We start from the raw sequence: 17,739 nt of genomic DNA on the forward strand, positions 1-17,739 counted from the left end.
GGGAATTCTGGCCCAGAGTGGTAGTGCACCAGATTTTATAGGCAGGCTTGAGGAGATGGTGTCTGATTTATGTAAGGCCCAAGATTGGCTGGACCAGGTGTGATGTTTACACAGCCTGCCGGGAAGACTGGAAGGCTAGAAATCTCACCCTAATCTTTTTTTTTTTTTTGAGATGAAGTCTCGCTCTGTCACCCAGGCTGGAGTGCACTGGCACAATCTTGGCTCACTGCAACCTCCAACTCCCAGGTTCAAGCAATTCTCTTGCCTCAGCTTCCTGAAGCTGGGACTACAGGCACACACTGCAACACTTGGCGAATTTTTTGTATTTTAGTAGAGATGAGGTTTCACCATGTTGCCCAGGCGGGTCTCAAACTCCTGAGCTCAGGCAATCTGCCTGTCATAGCCTCCCAAAGTGCTAGGATTACAGGAGTGAGCCACCATGCCCCACCACCCTAATCTTATTATGCAAATAGGCTTTCCACTTGGCAGGCCACGTTGCCTGCTCCTTACTGTACACATGGCTGGGAAAGGGAAGGAGCTGCCATTTTGATGCCTACTCCCAGGTAGCCTTCTCCTGTTGGCACAGCTGCCACCATTCACCTGTGCAAGCTTCTAGCTTGCCTTTCTACCTCTGCAGCTCCATTTTACAGGCTGCTCTTTGTTAGAAAAGAAATGATTTGGGGGCTGCTTTTCATTAACAGGAAAACCTTACTGAGGACTTTCTTGCCTCACTATCTGCCTAAATAATTTCTTTTTAATTCCTATATCACCATCTCCTTCTCTTTCCTTTGCCCTTCACCTCCCCTCTCCTCCCTCTTTGATTTCCTTTTTCTCACACCCTTCTGCTCTGATCTCCTACCTCTTTCCATTTCTGCAACTGATTTTTTTCCTGCCATTTGCCATGTTGAAAAATTGAAGTCAAATAGATATCTTTAATGTTTCATTCTCCCCTTTACCCTCCCCCTGCTGCCAGTATAGTTTTGTGAATTTCAAACTTGTAAAGCAAAGGAACACTTTTTACCCCCAATGGAAACACAGGTGAAAAAAAACCACAATATACACATGCAAAAAAAAAGTATATATTTGAAATAGTAGTTTTCTTCTTCTCAGGGATTTTGTGAATTAATGTACCCTGAAGGGTGAACCACTTCTTTCTTAGTCCACTTGGACTGCTATGGTTTATGGTTAAAACAAACAAACAAACAAACCAACCATAGACTAGGTAGCTTATAAACAACAGAAGTATATTTACTATGGTTCTGGAGGCTGGAAAGTCCAAGATCAGGGTGCTGGCAAATCCTTTCTCTGATGAGGGCCTGCTTTCTGGTTCATCAGCAGCACCTTCTCACTGAATCCTCACATGGTGGAAGGGACAGCTCTCTGGGGCCTCATTTATAAGGGTACTAATCCCAGTCATTAGGGCTCTGTCCTCATGATCTAATCCCTTCCCAGCGGCCCCACCTCTTAACACTATCACATTGAGGATTCAGTGTTAACATGTGAATTTTGGAAGGACACAAACATTCAGACCGTGCAACCTCCTTCTCATCTTTACAGTGTCCCTGGAGAACTCCTGAGGACATGAAGGAAAGAGCACTGACTTGAGGATCTTGATAGTTGAGTTATGGTGGACATATCATTAACCTCTGGATTCGTTTCCCCATCTGTAAAATGGAGTAGATCATTAATTTTATTATCAGTATGTGCTCACTGTATGTCACCACCATTATAGATTGCATAGGTAGCAATTATACTCAACTAAATGCACCAAGTTGCTGACTTTAGTTCAAAAAAGAAATTTTACATTTACATTTTCTTGAAAACATGAATTATGTTTTTTTTTCCCCCAGCAATCAGGCCAAGTGGAAGAAAACAGGTAAAGAATCTTGATGGTTTCAACTCAAAAATGAATTTGAGTCACTCATGTACTGGTAAAGTTAGAGATTAAATTCTGTGTGACACTAAAGAGTGGATTACTTTTCACTAGAGAAGATGTAAGCTGTTAAAGTTAGAATATCACAAAGGAATTTGTTGCGAATAAACTAGCTGGAATACATTCATAAAGATGAGATTTAATAAAAAACATAATTTGTGCAGAAGAGAAAGGAGAAAAGCATAAGTTGTACAAAAGGGGACCTTTACTCCAGCAATGAGATAGAGAAAAAAGAGAGGGAAAGGGAGAGGAAAAGGAAGACCAGTAGGTGGGTGGATGGAAGTCTTGATGGATGTAGGTGGATGGATGGATGAATGGATGGAAAAATAGGGAGAAGGATAAATGAACAGATAGATACATAAATAGATACATATCTATATACATATCTACATACATTGGAAGATAGATATATGTCTCCAAATTAATGTTCTTAAAAAAGTTTCCAGTTTTTATTGAAAGCCAACAAGTTGACTCAGAGCCATGCCTCCTGAAACATATGCGGCAAAATACCCGATTTCTCACCTATCTTAATGACTGCTGTAAAATCATAGTCTCTTGCCTCAGCTTGATCTCCAGCTTGCACTCAGTTTTTCAAAAAGGAGACTATTTTGCATACTTTTAAAGAATGCATTGTGGTTTATAATTTCACCCGTCTTTTTTCACTTCAACTTTGGTGATAGTATAGTTCTGTATAGCTTCTTTATTATTTACATGCAAAGAGAAGTCAGCTTCCTACTCTGTTACATGATTCCACTATTACATGAAAAAGAATTGTCTATATTGTAATGGTGAGAATAGTCTCTTCCTATTTCTAACAAACCAAAGTGTCTCTGTTTCTGTTTGTATACAAGTTACTGATAGATTTCCAGATACCGCGAGGTTATTCCTGTACTTTCTAAAGAAGGATGTGAAAATCTAGAAATAATGTTGCCATTTTACATCATTTGACATTTTACAGTATTTTACAACGTTTGACAACGAGTCAGTTATTTCCCCTAGAAACTAGGTTGAATCCTGTCTCCTATATCTTAAATTCCCCATTTTATCTTCCTTAGATCCAGCATGAAATGAAAATAAATTGCTTCTTTATTTTATCAGAGATTGGTGGCAATTCCAAAATTTTAGACTTATTTAACTTATGTTTAATTGTAAGATAGAAGCATTTTGTTGCTTATATACCCACCTGACTCAGATTTATAGTAAAATAGACAGATCTTTCAAAGAAATGGTAGCTATGTACTTCAATGCTATGTGTAATTCCTTTATAAATTGTTTTGGCCCTTGATTAGTGGTTGATATGATAAAATCTCAATGCTGAATTTTAAAAAATTGTTTTGACTTGTATCAAAACTTAACATGTTATCTGTCTCTGTCATAATTATTATTTTTAACTAAAGCTACTGGGTTTTCCCTCCCTGATTCAAGTCCTAGATATAATCCCACCATATCAATATAGGCATTAATTTACTAATCCTCACAAAACTCATAACATTTCTCAGTGTGTATGTGCTTATTTCTGAGAAAAATTTTAGTAGAATTTAGTAAAAGAAGTTAGTGAGGTCTTTAAGCTATGAGATGTGGAATAAATGTATTTCAGCCCTGCCTATGTGCACAGAAAACTTGAGGCACATTCAACATATATGTATATTTTTATATGGAAATAAGATCATTATAGTCTACAATAACTGGAGTGAGAGAAGTAAACAGGGGGATCAGAAAGATATTCACTTTGGGTGCCACTGGAGAGGATGTGGGCCATTACAGCTGGACAGAAAATGTGGCCATGAAACTGAATTGGGAGCAGCTGTGGGAGAAATCAGTTAATGGTACCACCGTGGAGTTAGGAAAACCAGAAACCCAAGAATGGCTTTTGGTGACTCCCTTTCCTTCCCCTCCCGCACCCAGTCAGACACTAGTCCTGTCAGGTGTAACTGTAAATTCCTCTCAGGCCAGGCCACTGCTTTTCACTTCTCTCCATGCCCACTACCCCAATCCATAGCAATTTCTCATCACCCAGATCTCCTTTCATTCACTCCTGAACCCTCTAATCCTTTCCCCTGAATTTGACTTCAAATACAAACCTAATTAGACGGATCCTATTTAAGCTCTTCAGGACCTTCCCATTATTCTTAATGTAATTCCCCAAATCTTCATCATGACTTCTAAACCAGAACTACTTACTCTTCTCCTTGCTCACCTCTCCAGCTGCCTAAACTCCAGATATGGTGCCCTTTGTGCAGTTTCTCTAAGACTCCATGCCCCTCCCTCCTAAAAGCTGTTCCCTCTGCCCAGAGGCCCCTACCCACATCCCAATCTAATTTCTTCTTTCTATTCCATCTCAAATGAAACATTCTTCCTCAGAGAAGCATTTCCTAAATTATTCCCTAATCACATACACCAGGTTAAAATGTCTACTCTACCACACTGGGATTCTGTATTGCTCTCAACAAAATTAAAATTATATATTTGTACAGATAAATTTTTAATAACTCTTTCCATGGCTAGTATATAAGCTCCCTCTTACTAGAAAATATTTTATTCAACACTGACCTTAGCACAGGACTGTAGAGATTCAAATGTTCATCAGAGAACAAATGAATATGTAGGCTGAATGAACAATCAGTGAAATAATAGATGGATAGATAAGCGGATGGAGATAGCTAGACACAAACACATGGATATGCAGGTAGCAATATTGGATTCTGAAGGTATAAAAAATGTTTTTTCTTCTTGTTGTACCTAGTACTATGTCTACTCAAACCATGTTTATTCTAGACCTTACTTTTTATGTATCATATTCTTGGCTTATTCTTTCCCCTCAATAGCACCCATTAGTATTCCGTTGTACCTTGTATCCCTCAACTTACCTTTCAAGGTTTCACTTGGTGGTTACTTCTTCTTGCCCTCCCTCACCTTTCCAGTTGTTCTGTATTCCCATAATACGTCATACACTTTCCTGTCACAACAGCTGAATTGTTGAATTCATATGATCTTTTATGCACCTCGTCCCAAGCCCATGAGGGCAAGAGCTGTATAAGATTCATCTTTTATTTCCTCAGGAAATAACAAGTGTGCAAAGAAGCATTGAAAGAATGAAACATTTTTGCTATGATTTATTCACTTTAAGATAAAGAGAGGGCCTGTAGCCCTAGCTACTTGGGAAGCTGAAACAGGAGGACTGCTTGAGGCCAGGAGTTCAAGGCTGCAGTTAGCTGTGATTCTGCTGCTGCACTCCAGCTTGGGAAACAGCAAAAAAAAAAAAAAAAAAAAAAAAAAAAAAAAAGAATAGAGGGTCAGAAAATAATTTGTTATAGCAGTTTTTATTTTACTTTAAAAAGATACTTTTTATATTTTTACTATAAACATATTTATTTATTCATTTATTCATTAAAGACAAGGTCTTACTCTGTCACCCAGGCTGAAGTGCTGTGGCATGGCCATGTCTCACTATAACCTCAACCTCTCGGGATGAAACAATTCTCCCACCTCAACCCCTCAAGTAGCAGGGACCACTGTGGGCCCTGAGAAATTTTTTTTTTCTTTAATTTTGTAGACATAGGGCTTCCCTATGTTGCCCAGGCTGGTCTCCAGCTCCTGAGCTCAAGTGATCCTCCTGCACTGGCCTCCCGAAGTGCTGGGATTACAGATGTGAGCCACCATGCCCAGCCTACAAATATTTTTATAACCTATTTCACTTCAGTTTTTTTCCTTCCAACATTTTTGTTGTTAAACATTGAGTTCCCAGGCTCTTTTGAAGGATTAAGTTTATTGTTCATTAAAAAAAAAAAAAAAACACTTCTTGAATGCCAAAATACTGTTACTATTTTCAAGAGAATTCATTAGAGATTTTCTTATTTTACTTTCTGGTTTATAAAACTGCACTGTTGTTGACACATATATGGGCAGATGAATTTGCCTGGCTATTTTTTGTAGAGATGGGGTTTCGCTGTGTTGCCCAGGCTGGTCTCGAACTTCTGAGATCAAGTGATCTGCCCACTTCAGGCTCCCAAAGTGTTAGGATAACAGGTGTGAGCCATTCGCCTGGCCTTCTTTATTATCTTTTGTATTGAGAATAATTACATTTTGACTTATTGGTCATCTACAATTTCAACTTTTTCATTACTGCACATAAAGAAAATGTTTAATTTTTTACTACCCTTTGATATCAATAAATTTTTATATAAGAGAATTGCATAGGCCTTCTTTTCCACCTTTTCGTTTCCCACTCCAATAATACAATAATTAATATTGAAAACTATGTTTGTATAACTACACAGAAAAAAAAAAAGAAATGGAATTACAATATGAAAATACCAGTACCACTATTTCATTTTGTTCTCTATTTGATGACTAATTTTGCTATTCATAATGATCATCGATAGATGTAATTAAAGTCAATACTTGTATCCTTCGTTTTGAAGATATATTAATGAAGGAAATGAATTACCTAATTTAGTAGATCTCAAACTTTTGTCACCGTGGTACATTTAAGTGAATCATAAAACCTCAGAGGTCCATCAAACTCTGACTTTTTTCTTATAGAAACAATATTGTGTGGTAACAAAGACGGAGAAGGAAACTTAATAATAATAACAACAAAATAATTACATAAGAACCCATGATTAACAAAATAAAACAATAGTAATTCTACAAACATATTATTATAAGAGTATAACAGGTGAAAAATTATAACCTGCAGAATACTATGAATGGCACATTAATTAAAATAATGTCCCTTTGGAACATTATAGGAATTCCAGCTATCTTAGATATTCCTATGCCCAGTGGGGGAGTTTTGCAAAGTATGAGTTGTATCAGATATCTAGACTTCTTGATGGAATATTGAATTTGAATACTTATACTATACCAACATCTCACTAAATTAACTAATGAATACTGAATTTTAGAATGCGTTACTTGATTTACTGTATTATCAGTAAGTAGCCCTAATTTATGTACAGAAATTTAAATGTATGAATTTTAATCACATTTATATCACTTTATGAACACTTAAAAGTACATTCATGACCCACCAGTGGGCCACAAATGCTACTTTGATCTACATTGAGTTTGTTACATACATATCCTTGAACCCTATAATGTATTCCATTTAGTCTTACAGGTATTTTAGGTATAAAGATCCTGACCATATTTTACAAATTTATTATACTCAGTCCTGATATTTTCTATTTTAAGAATTTCTCGAAAGTTGGGCCAGGTGCAGTAGTTCACGCCTATGATCTCAGCACTTTGGGAGGTCGAGGCGGGCAGATGGCTTGAGATCAGGAGTTCGAGACCAGCCTGGCCAAAATGGCAAAACCTAATCTCTACTGAAAATGCAAAAATTAGCTGGGCATGGTGGCATGCACCTTTAATCCCAGCTACTCGGGAGACCAAGGCATGAGAATCACTTGAACTGGGGAGACAGAGGTTGCAGTGAGTCGAGATCATGCCACTGCACTCCAGCCTCAGAGACAGAGGAAGACTCTGTCTCAAAAAAAAAAAGAAAAAAAAAGTAATTCTAGAAAATATTGATTATATAATAATTGTTTAACATATTTTTCATGTAAAATTTTAACATTATAAGTAAGGATTTCTCTTTTCATTATAGGTAAGGATTTCTCTTTTGAGTCTCTTTTTAGGCTTTGTTCTATATATTTAAATATATAGAAATTCACATATATAAATAAACAAAAATATTGTATATATTATCTTTTTCACAAGTAGCATATTTACAATTACTTATGTAGTGTGTTTGTATTTCTCAATAGCATGCAAATATTTATTAGCATATATATGTAAATAACTCTCATATCTGCATTTATTTTAACTCAACAATATATCCTGAAGACTAATCTTAACATTATTGATCTCCTTCATAATTTTACACTTGGATAATATTTCATGGTATGGGCTGATCAGATGGTAGTGGATTATCAAAATTTATTAACATTAGTGTCAATGTACTTGCTATACAACCCCCACACTGCCAAATTTGACTGTCTTAATTTAAAAAATTAATTTAAAAAAATTCCAGGGTATGAATCTGCCTGCAGAGTTTTATATAGTCATAATCCATTTTATTGTTTATCATAAACAAGCTGGAATCAACATCCTTGAACATTTCTCTTTGTATATCTGTGGGATTATTTCTTGTGGTTGATACTTTGAGTTACACAGTCTTCACATGTCAAAGTTTAATAGACAATGGTAATTTACTCTAATAGGAGCAATACAAATATACACTACCAATAGTAGTTTATGGAGGTGATATTCATTGAAACAAACCCTTGACACCACTTAATGATATTAAACTTTTTTTTTTTTTTACTTTTTGAGTTAGGCTTTCCTACATACATGAGAATATGACTGTAAATAATTTAGGTGTTCTAATCAGTTTAATTAATTTATTGTTTCTTTAACATTCAATCCTGATATAAATGCTAAGCATCCCAAGTAGATCATGATAATCGATAACCTACCTATTTAAATAAGAGTTTTAGTTGTGCCCCTTTGAGCTTTCTGAATACCCATTAGTCAAACAGCTTACAAAGAGAATAGCTTTCTCTTTATGTTCCCATGTTCTGTGTTGGACTGCCTTTAAAAAGGGGAAGAAAATAATTTTGTACATAATGATACTGTTATATATTTAAATAGTAATGGTGTTACAGGAAAGGGGTTCAGATCCAGACCCCAAGAGAGGGCTTTTGGATCTTGCCCAAGAAAGAATTTAGGGTGAGTCCGCAGTGCAAAGCAAAAGCAAGTTGATTCCATAGACAGTATAGGATGTTCCCAAAAGTAAGAGGAGGAATGCATCCACCCTAGGTAAAATGCTTGTATATATTTTTTCTATTTATTTATTTAGTTAGTTAGTTTTTGAGACACTCTTGCTCTGTCACCCAGGCTGGAGTGCAGTGGTGCGATCTCAGCTCACGGCAACCTCCACCTCCTGGGTTCAAGCAATTTTCCTACCTCAGTCTCCCAAGTAGCTGGGACTACAGGCATGCGCCACCATGCCCAGCTAATGTTTGTATTTTCACTAGAGACAGGGTTTCACCATGTTGGCCAAGCTGGCCTCGAACTCCTGACCTCGTGACCCACCCGCCTCAGCCTCCCAAAGTGCTGGGATTACAGGCATGAGCCACCGTGCCCAGCCCAGTACTTGTATATGTATATATATGATATATACATGATATATATATGATATATGTATATACATACACATATATATATACACATGATATATATATATATGATATATGATAAAAAGAGATATTGGGGAGATGTGCTGTGCTCCAAGGGTTTGTGATAAAGCATTAATTTTCTTAATTGCTATATTTTGCAAAAATTGATATTATTATCTTTAAAGAAAAATTAGAAATGCCTTTGTTCTCTAGATATCGGGATATCTCCCAAGCCTGGGTCTGTTTAGCAAACATTACTAATTTGTTCCCTTAACCATAAATATCTAGAAGCTAGGAATGCCTAACTTTCTGAGAATGCAGGTCAGCAAGTCCCGGCCTTATTTTCCTAGCCCTCACTCAAAATGGAGTTACTGTGGTTGGAAGGCCTCTGATAGTAGGACAGGTTAAAGTTTGAAAAGATACATATCAAATGATTAACAAACTCCTGGTGGCTAACAACTATACTCTCAGTGTTTTGGGAGGCCAAAGTGGAAGGATAGCGTAAGACCAGGAGCCCCATCTCTACAAAACTGAAAAAAAAATTAGCCAGGCATAGTGGGTGCACACCTGTAGTCCCAGCTACATTGGAGGATGAGCTGGGAGGATGCCTTGAGCCCAGGAATTCAAGGTTACAGTGAACTGTGATGAGCTATGATTGTGCCCCTGCACTTCTTCAGCCTGTGTGACAGTGAGACCCTGTCTTACAAAAGAAAAAAAAAGAAAAGAAAAAGGCCGGGCGTAGTGGCTCATGCCTGTAATCCCATCACTTTGGGAGGCCGAGACGGGTAGATTGCCTAAGGTCAGGAGTTCAAGACCAGGCTGGGCAACATGGTGAAACCCCATCTCTACTAAAAATACAAAAATTAGCTGAGCATGGTGGCGGGCGCCTGTAATCCCAGCTACTTGGGAGGCTGGGACAGGAGGCAGCTACTTGGGAGGCTTGAACTCAGGAGGCAGAGGTTGCAGTGAGCCGAGATCATGCCATTGCACTCCAGCCTGGGCGACAAGAGCAAAACAACGCCTCAAAAAAAAAAAAAAAAGTCTCTGGAAAGTGAGAATATAGCAAGGTGAAATAGAGATGTTCATTATTTTTACTTTGTACACTTTTTATTTATTTAGTGTAAATGTGTTATAATCCTGTTTTAGTTTATTAATTTTAAAACAAAGAAGATTATAACTTGGGAAATTATGCTTATTTACTTATTCTTGTTTCTTCTTTCTTGTTTCTCATGACTTTCTTACCAATTAATATATATTCCTAACTTCGAATTACCCATGGCTATCAAATTTGTTCTAGTGATGATGAGGTATTAGGTCTTTATCTGTTTTAATATTTTTGGAGTGTTGACCATTTGACATATTCTTGTAGAATGTACTTGAAAAAATCAGCATGTAGTTTCAGAGAAGAAAAATACTTGAAACTAAGCAATAGTTTGCTACCCAGCATACTGGGAGCAAAATTCCTTATACAGTTAGTAAGAAGATGAAAATCACTTTGAAAAGCCTGGATTTTATTTCTGTCAATTTTCACAGAGCTTAGTAGCTGATGAGTATTCACTGTGAACTAAGTGCTAAACCAGACACAAAGGAAAATTTGCACTTGCCTCTGAGAACTTACAATGTGGTTGGGGATTTACAAGACACACGCAACTAAGTCCACTTTAGAAACTCACAGAGAAAATAATAGGGCAAACCTTAGACCTAACGACCCAAATAGATAATTAAGGTAAGCATGATTTTTCAAAGTAAGTTTCCTCAGGAGGAGCTTTCTGAAGACATGCGTTTAAAGTCAAGTTTTCAAGAAAAAGATTAATTCGCAGGAAAAATTGGGGAGTGTATTCCAGATGAAGATGAAGTTTAACAACTATTTCTTGAATCGATGATTACAATTACATGCAAACATGATCGTTGAAAGAAAGCAATAAAAGTATTTATGTGAGATCTCTTTCCTTTGTATTCCATTTAAAAATTATAGTTGAAATCTGGTGAAACAGCTGCCAACATTGCTAGAGAGCTGGCTGAACAGACAAGAAATCACTTGAATGCTGGGGACATCACCTACTCTGTCCGGGCCATGGACCAGCTGGTAGGCCTCCTAGATGTACAGCTTCGGAACTTGACCCCAGGTGGAAAAGATAGTGCTGCCCGGAGTTTGAACAAGGTAAGGACCCTAATTATGTGTGTGTGTGTGTGTGTGTGTGTGTGTGTGTGTGTGTGTCTTTAAAGTTGTAATAAAATCAGAAAGACTTCACTGCTTAATTTTCCTCCTTCTACAGAATATGATCATTATAAAGAGAATCAACAGTTATTTTCAATTCCTTTGTTATTATAATAATAGAACTGTGGTTCTTAATCTAAAGAAATGATAAATGATAATCTCTCTATATATATTTTGAATTTATAATTCTGTTTTCCATGGCAGTTATTCTGTTATGCTAAATTCAGACAGGGTTAATGTAGATAAATGCAATTTCTTTTTTCTTTCAAACTTTTATTTTAAGATAATTGACAATAAAACAAATGTCTAGTCAATAAGTAAAACTTTAGAACATAATAACAAGAAGATGTTATAGATCTTCTTGTGGAAGAATGGATGGATCTCTATCATCAATTATAGATGATTTAAAAACTGAGATAATTTATCCTAATTAATAAAACTTTAAAAAATCTCATAAGGCAAGAAATTAATTTCTACTTCCTTTTGACTTTGAAATCACTCAGATTTTGTATCACTAACATTAAAATGTTAAAAGCTTAAATATATTCCAGCAAATTTGAATTTGTAAGTAAAATAAATTATTTTTTAACTTCAGGGAAAATACATTTTATGAATTTTCATTTATATTTACATAAATGAAATAGGCATTTAGTTACATAAACATATAAAATATATTTCATATATTTATAAATAATATAATTTATTTATTTAACAAAATATCAGGTGGTGAATTAACCCCATGGTAAAACATATTAGCATAGCTACCTTCAAATGACATGGGTTCCCTGACTGGCATTTGTGTAGTAGAGATGTTCAATGATTGAAACAATTTTAGGGCCTTGAATATCATGATAGCCTTACTACTTTAAAAAACAAGAATTTGACATTGCCAGACTAATATTCCTGTATGGAATTCACTAAAAGAACATTCTCCTTTAGAATGAAAAATGACTCTGCAAAGTAGTCTTTTAATATGGTTAGTTCTTCTGTGTCTTACTAGGGTAAGAATTTCAGTCATCAAAAGGAAAGAAATTTTCTAAATAATGATTATTCAACACAGAAAAGCCAGATATTTTATCTGGCAAACAGTTTTTTTTTTTTCCCCTGCAATTTCATCTGTAAAAAACAGGTAAAGTTTTATTATTAGATATAAATTATTATTATTATTATTTTTCATTCTGAGCATAAAGGAGTTATTTTTGTCACTTATGCCCTTGATAGAATCACAACCAGTTGCCTGATGGAATATAATCCACAGCTACCTATATAATCTGGGCGTGCTGTGATTTTAATGCGTTGTTGCCCAGACTGGCTGGATGCTATTAATGAATATTGCTGCCAGCTATTGTTATCATAATGTACCGGATGTAGTCATTTCTATTAATGTTACATATCCATAACATGACTTGTTATAGCAATACTTTGTATCTTTATTTAAAAATGGTGTTGATGTCTGACAATATCAGGTAAAGCTGGCAATTAATGTCACATTCTAACTGGCTACAGCTAATCAGCTTGCCTACTCTGAATATCAAATAACTAAATAATGGGCAAATTTCCATTTGTGAAGCTTTTTAATGCTTTTCTTTTGTTACCCATTTGGCTCTTTTCAGTTGTTTATATAATGTGGTTTGTCATATGTTAATTTGCATGATGGGGTAAGGAGATGGGAGGGCAAAGGTTATTCACATGCTTGCTGGCTTGCTCTCATTTCCTGTGGTTCTCACTTTCCCTGAAGCAGTTATAACCTATCAGATTTGCAAAGTCAACTCAGTACAAATCAATCGTGCTCTGTATTGAAATTCTGGAGGGTTTAGAGTCCTGCAAACCACGATGCAAGTCAGTGATCCAAGTGACAGCCCTGGCAATTTACTTGCACTCATTCCTTACTTAATTCTTTAGAGGAGTAACTGCTCTATGCTCATTGAAGAATGCATGAATTAGAATTGGGAGAGTATAGGCCACACAAAAGGCATCTGGGTAACTGCTTCTTAAAACTGGGTAATTTTCTCCTTCAACAATCAAGGCTACTGAGGAAAAAAAAAAATTGGAAAGAAGAGGAAAACCCACAAATGAATTTATAAAAATTTGGCTTATTTATTTAAACATGGTGGATGAACTGTTATTAGTTATTCATTTTATCACCAGGAAATAATGTTTGGTGTGTAACAGGAGTTGCTGCTATCCTTTTGCCCAGAAAGACATCACTCTCTATGCAAACAAACAAACAGAAATATACTTCTTAACCCACCAAAGTTTCTATCATTTGTTTTTTGGTCAAAACTGTCAAAATAAATTCTTCAAGAAATAAAAGCAGTGATTAATCAGAAAATCACATCCTTTCAATCAGTAGCTAGTTATCTCTAGTATGTGCCCATTAGAATCAAAGAGTCATAATGAATGGGCATTTCTTTTTTCCTGATAAATAGAAGTTTTTGTATATATGAAGAACATATGATTTGTGGTGTACATTAACCGTTTATATTATCTGTAAACCACAAATAATCTATCTTTGAAAAATGGGTTCCAAACTTCTGATGCAATTTCCTTAACTTCATGTCTTTGTCACCCATAAATTCATAACTAACCTAATGTGAAATGAATCATTTCAAACGAATGAAGTATATTGATTTTTACTAATTTCTACGAAATGTATTCAAAGATTTCTTGCTATCATTAACAACTTTATACCATAGAGTTTTCACTTAGGTTGTTCTGAAAGGATGTTGGCTACTATTTTTTAAGCCATTGCTTGCTTACATTTTGCTGCTGCTTAGCTTTCATTTTCTTCTGAAAAGTAGTGAATGACAAAATAAGGTGTTTTGTGTAGATGTGTTCTTTTATTTTTCTTGTTTTCTTCTGTCACTAACTTGTTTTTTCTATTCTGTGTTTAATCTGCTGTCTTAATGGATTCAGCTTCAGAAAAGAGAGCGCTCTTGCAGAGCCTATGTCCAGGTACTTTCTGCGTTTTTATAAATGTGTTAAGTTGTTGAATGTCTCTGTTGTGATGGCATGAATGGACACCTGATAGAAAAATGATAATGTACCTTACTGAAATAAAGGAATTTCATGGAGGGGGAGAAGGGTGGGAACAGAAAGCATGAAAGCATTGGCAGTGCCAATGCTCTGTCAAACAAGAGGAACACAGACTGAGAAGGAGGTGCAACTTGAGGTGTGAACTTTTTCATCATCACCAAGAGGTGAGTTGGGTATAATCTATAAAATCCCTATTTTTTTCATAGAGGTGGGTTTGAAAACATTTCATTTTTTCATTGGGTCAGCCAATATTTGAGTAGCAAGTCATTCAGAAATGAAACTAAATCAGTCTTATAAGACAACAAGTAATCCAGGATACTTGGAATATCATGCTTCTGTTCCTTAGTAGAGCTGTTTATTGGTTCAAGGCACGATTGTGACTATCTTACTCTCTTACTTATTGCAAAAACTGTAATCCCAATGTAAATGTACTTTGTTTCGGCTGACATGTTCTAATTTGTAAGCATGTTGTAATTTATAAGCAATAAACCATACCTATGTTTATGGATTTTGTATGACAGAGAACAACCTTAGAAGCAAGCTCTCTAGTTTTTTGTTTTGTTTTGTTTTATAAGAAATGAAGGAAAGAAACAAAGAAGGCAGGAGGAAATATGAAAATGTTTAGCTGTAAACTTTATTCTACATGTATACATTTCACAGCATTTTTAAAAAGGCCATCTGCATTTATAAAGAGATACCCTCAAGAACCAAATTAATGGGTATGAGATTGGCAGTTTAAAAACAAAACTTTATCAGTTAATTTGCAGGTGAACATAATATCAAGGTGTTTACTTTTTTTAACCAAAACTCTTAAGTTAGGTTGATATAAATAGTAAAAATTGATTTGTTTGTTTATGCCTTTCCAATGATCTGAATATTCACATCCGCTATCCTCGGTAGTACAGAATTGAGAACTGGATTTATAATTAGAAAGTGACTTAGTGAGCATAAAATCATAGCAAAAGGAATTGGATAGCCTTGGGGCAAACTTAGTCAGATTATGAAAAGCACAATACAGTAGACTTTTTAATGAATGGAAATATCTCTGTGTGCCAGCTATAATCATTTGCTTAATTCTGGCTGGCAAATTCTTTTTCTTGCAGCTATCCCATTTGTAAATTCTATACATGAATATCTTGATATCCTCAACAAATATTAGTGAACAAGGCAAATATAATACAGTCCCTGTCTAGGATTTTACTATCTAGGAGAAAATATTGATGAATAAATGTTAGTACACTAACACTTCAGAGGAATGAAAATGCAGTTGAGTAGATTCAGCTTTCTTTGGATATACTCTCGTTCTGGAAATGTATACTGATCACTTTGATTGGATTTGGTGTCTTCCAAGTCTCCTGAGCAACACAAGAACACATTACAAATGTTCCCTATAAGTCAGCTAAATTTGTAGTTGGCCAAACGTGTCTATTACGATTATGCGTGGTTTCCGTAGGGAAGGAAAGATTTCTTTTCCTGATCTATAGCTAGGTTCATGACTCAGGCCCCTATAACAAAAGACAGGTTAACAAGAGACAAACATACAAATTTATTTTATATAAGTTTTATGTGAGATAGCAGCATTTGGGAATGACCCCAAGAAACAGAAAAACTTGTATTTTTTATGTGTAGGTTTGATAAAGAGTAGACAGTCATGGGAAAGTGCAACTGGACAAAGGGGGAATTATCTAATGGTAATACATGGGAGGGGGAACTTAGCAAGGCATTTGTTCAGATTCTTCTGGGCATCTCTGTGTCTTGGGATCCTTCCTTGCAGGTATAGGGAGATGTGAGTTAGGTTGATGTAAATGCTAAAAACCAATTTGTTCATTTATGCCTTTCCAATGATCTGAATATTCACATTCCACTATCCTTCTGGGTAGTATAGAATTGAGAATTGAATATTCTCTAAGGAGAATATTATGATCTGATTCAGGGGAAGGTTAGAAAATTCTTGCTCAGTTGTTTGGTTTGCATCAGGAGAAAAAGGCAGGGTAAAGATGAGAGTTACCTTCCTGCTTTTGCTGTTTTCTCAAATGCCAATGTGCCGTATTTTGGAGTCACATGTCCTGAGTCTCATCAATTCTTATTACTTTAATCTCAGCATTGTTTTGCAGAATGAGCAATTAGAAACTTAAAAACCAGAGTGAAAAAAATATTATTTTATTCTTGCGCATTTCATTCTGAATGTGAAGTGAAGCCATTAGAATAAGGCTAATAAAGGCATTTTGTGAAAATATTATTTAAAAGGAAAAGGAGAATTTCAACATTGAACAGAGATTAGGAAGATAAACTTTTAATTTGCATTTTATTTTATAAAATAATGAATCTTTTTGTATAAGAAACTGTTCAGGTTTATTTTTCTAAGGTTTTGGGGAAAAATTGCTTTGGGAGGTATATATAGGTGTGTTTATATACATATACATATATATCTGTATATATAAATATATATCAATATATATCTGTATATATAAATATATATCAATATATATCTATATATGACCTATACTCTAAGTGAATGCAATAGGTAGAGAAATCAAAATATCCTTTACCATCAAAAGCTGAAGATCATTTCTGAGCTGAGCAATGTTAGGATTGTTTTTGATTGCAATCTATGCTATCCTTTTAATGGGGCCTTTGGGATAATTAGTCTTTTGGTATTTAAACCTATGAAACACATGGTCATTCAAACATGAATCTCTGGTGGAAAATTAATAGCAGTTTATTCAGTGGTTGATTTCCTGGGTTATAATTGACTGACTATGAATAAATGTTTCAGCTATTGAGTAAACATCTTATAAGACCAAATACAAACAGAATATTGGTGAATCAGAAATGCTCTGCTAATACATTGCACTACCTCTCTTCCTCTTAATGTAGATCATTATTCCATGAAATTCCAGAGTGAATAATCCTTTAAACTTTAGTCTATTTGCATTTTAAAGACTTGTTTTATGTGTCCTATTTCTATTTTCAGAGTACATTCAGAGCTACCTACGAAATAGGTGTGAAATATGCTTGAAGTGCTTTAGGCATTAAATTTGAAATAAGATGATTTCTAAGTCATCATAATTGTTTTTTTTTTAATATAGCCTTTTCATAAGCGCAAGCAATGAATCTTTTAGGGTTGATTTTGGCTGTCTAAATCCATTTAGATGTCAATTACTTAGAAGTTCAGTGTCTATTTTATGAATTATCCAGAGTTATCTTTTGTATGTTCTGACTTTTAACCTTTTGTTTATCTCACACACAAATGAAAGCACAGTGAAATTTTAACTATCAGTTGTCAACTATGATAACTGACCTGTAGTTGTACAATTAAAAGTGGCTGGTGTGATATTTTAAATAATATGTGAATCTCCTAAAAGCCA

At 35.2% G+C, this 17,739-nt stretch overlaps 1 protein-coding gene across 59 annotated transcripts in view, besides 2 other annotated features; it reads left to right on the forward strand.

The window, feature by feature from the left end:
* ADGRL3 (adhesion G protein-coupled receptor L3) overlaps window positions 1-17,739 on the forward strand; it is an 878,010-nt gene that overhangs the window by 698,142 nt on the left and 162,129 nt on the right. For 43 of the 59 annotated variants that reach the window (NM_001387552.1, NM_001322402.3, NM_001387522.1 and 40 more), the window contains 2 exons: window positions 11,093-11,278; window positions 14,252-14,290. In NM_001387552.1, coding sequence (NP_001374481.1) covers window positions 11,093-11,278; window positions 14,252-14,290 — 225 coding nt within the window. The remainder of the gene's footprint in view (window positions 1-11,092; window positions 11,279-14,251; window positions 14,291-17,739) is intronic. The other 16 variants (NM_001387523.1, NM_001371343.2, NM_001387524.1 and 13 more) reach the window with 1 other exon arrangement.
* Window positions 12,321-12,901: an enhancer, noted in NCBI's record as "OCT4-NANOG hESC enhancer chr4:62776506-62777086 (GRCh37/hg19 assembly coordinates)". NCBI's record gives its function as "activates a minimal SCP1, AML or CMV promoter by ChIP-STARR-seq in naive and primed H9 embryonic stem cells {active_cell/tissue: H9 hESC(naive and primed)}" and the evidence as "EXISTENCE:reporter gene assay evidence [ECO:0000049][PMID:30033119]".
* Window positions 12,902-13,480: an enhancer, noted in NCBI's record as "OCT4-NANOG hESC enhancer chr4:62777087-62777665 (GRCh37/hg19 assembly coordinates)". NCBI's record gives its function as "activates a minimal SCP1, AML or CMV promoter by ChIP-STARR-seq in naive H9 embryonic stem cells {active_cell/tissue: H9 hESC(naive)}" and the evidence as "EXISTENCE:reporter gene assay evidence [ECO:0000049][PMID:30033119]".

This window comes from Homo sapiens, chromosome 4, assembly GCF_000001405.40.
Source record: "Homo sapiens chromosome 4, GRCh38.p14 Primary Assembly".
NCBI lineage: Eukaryota > Metazoa > Chordata > Mammalia > Primates > Hominidae > Homo > Homo sapiens.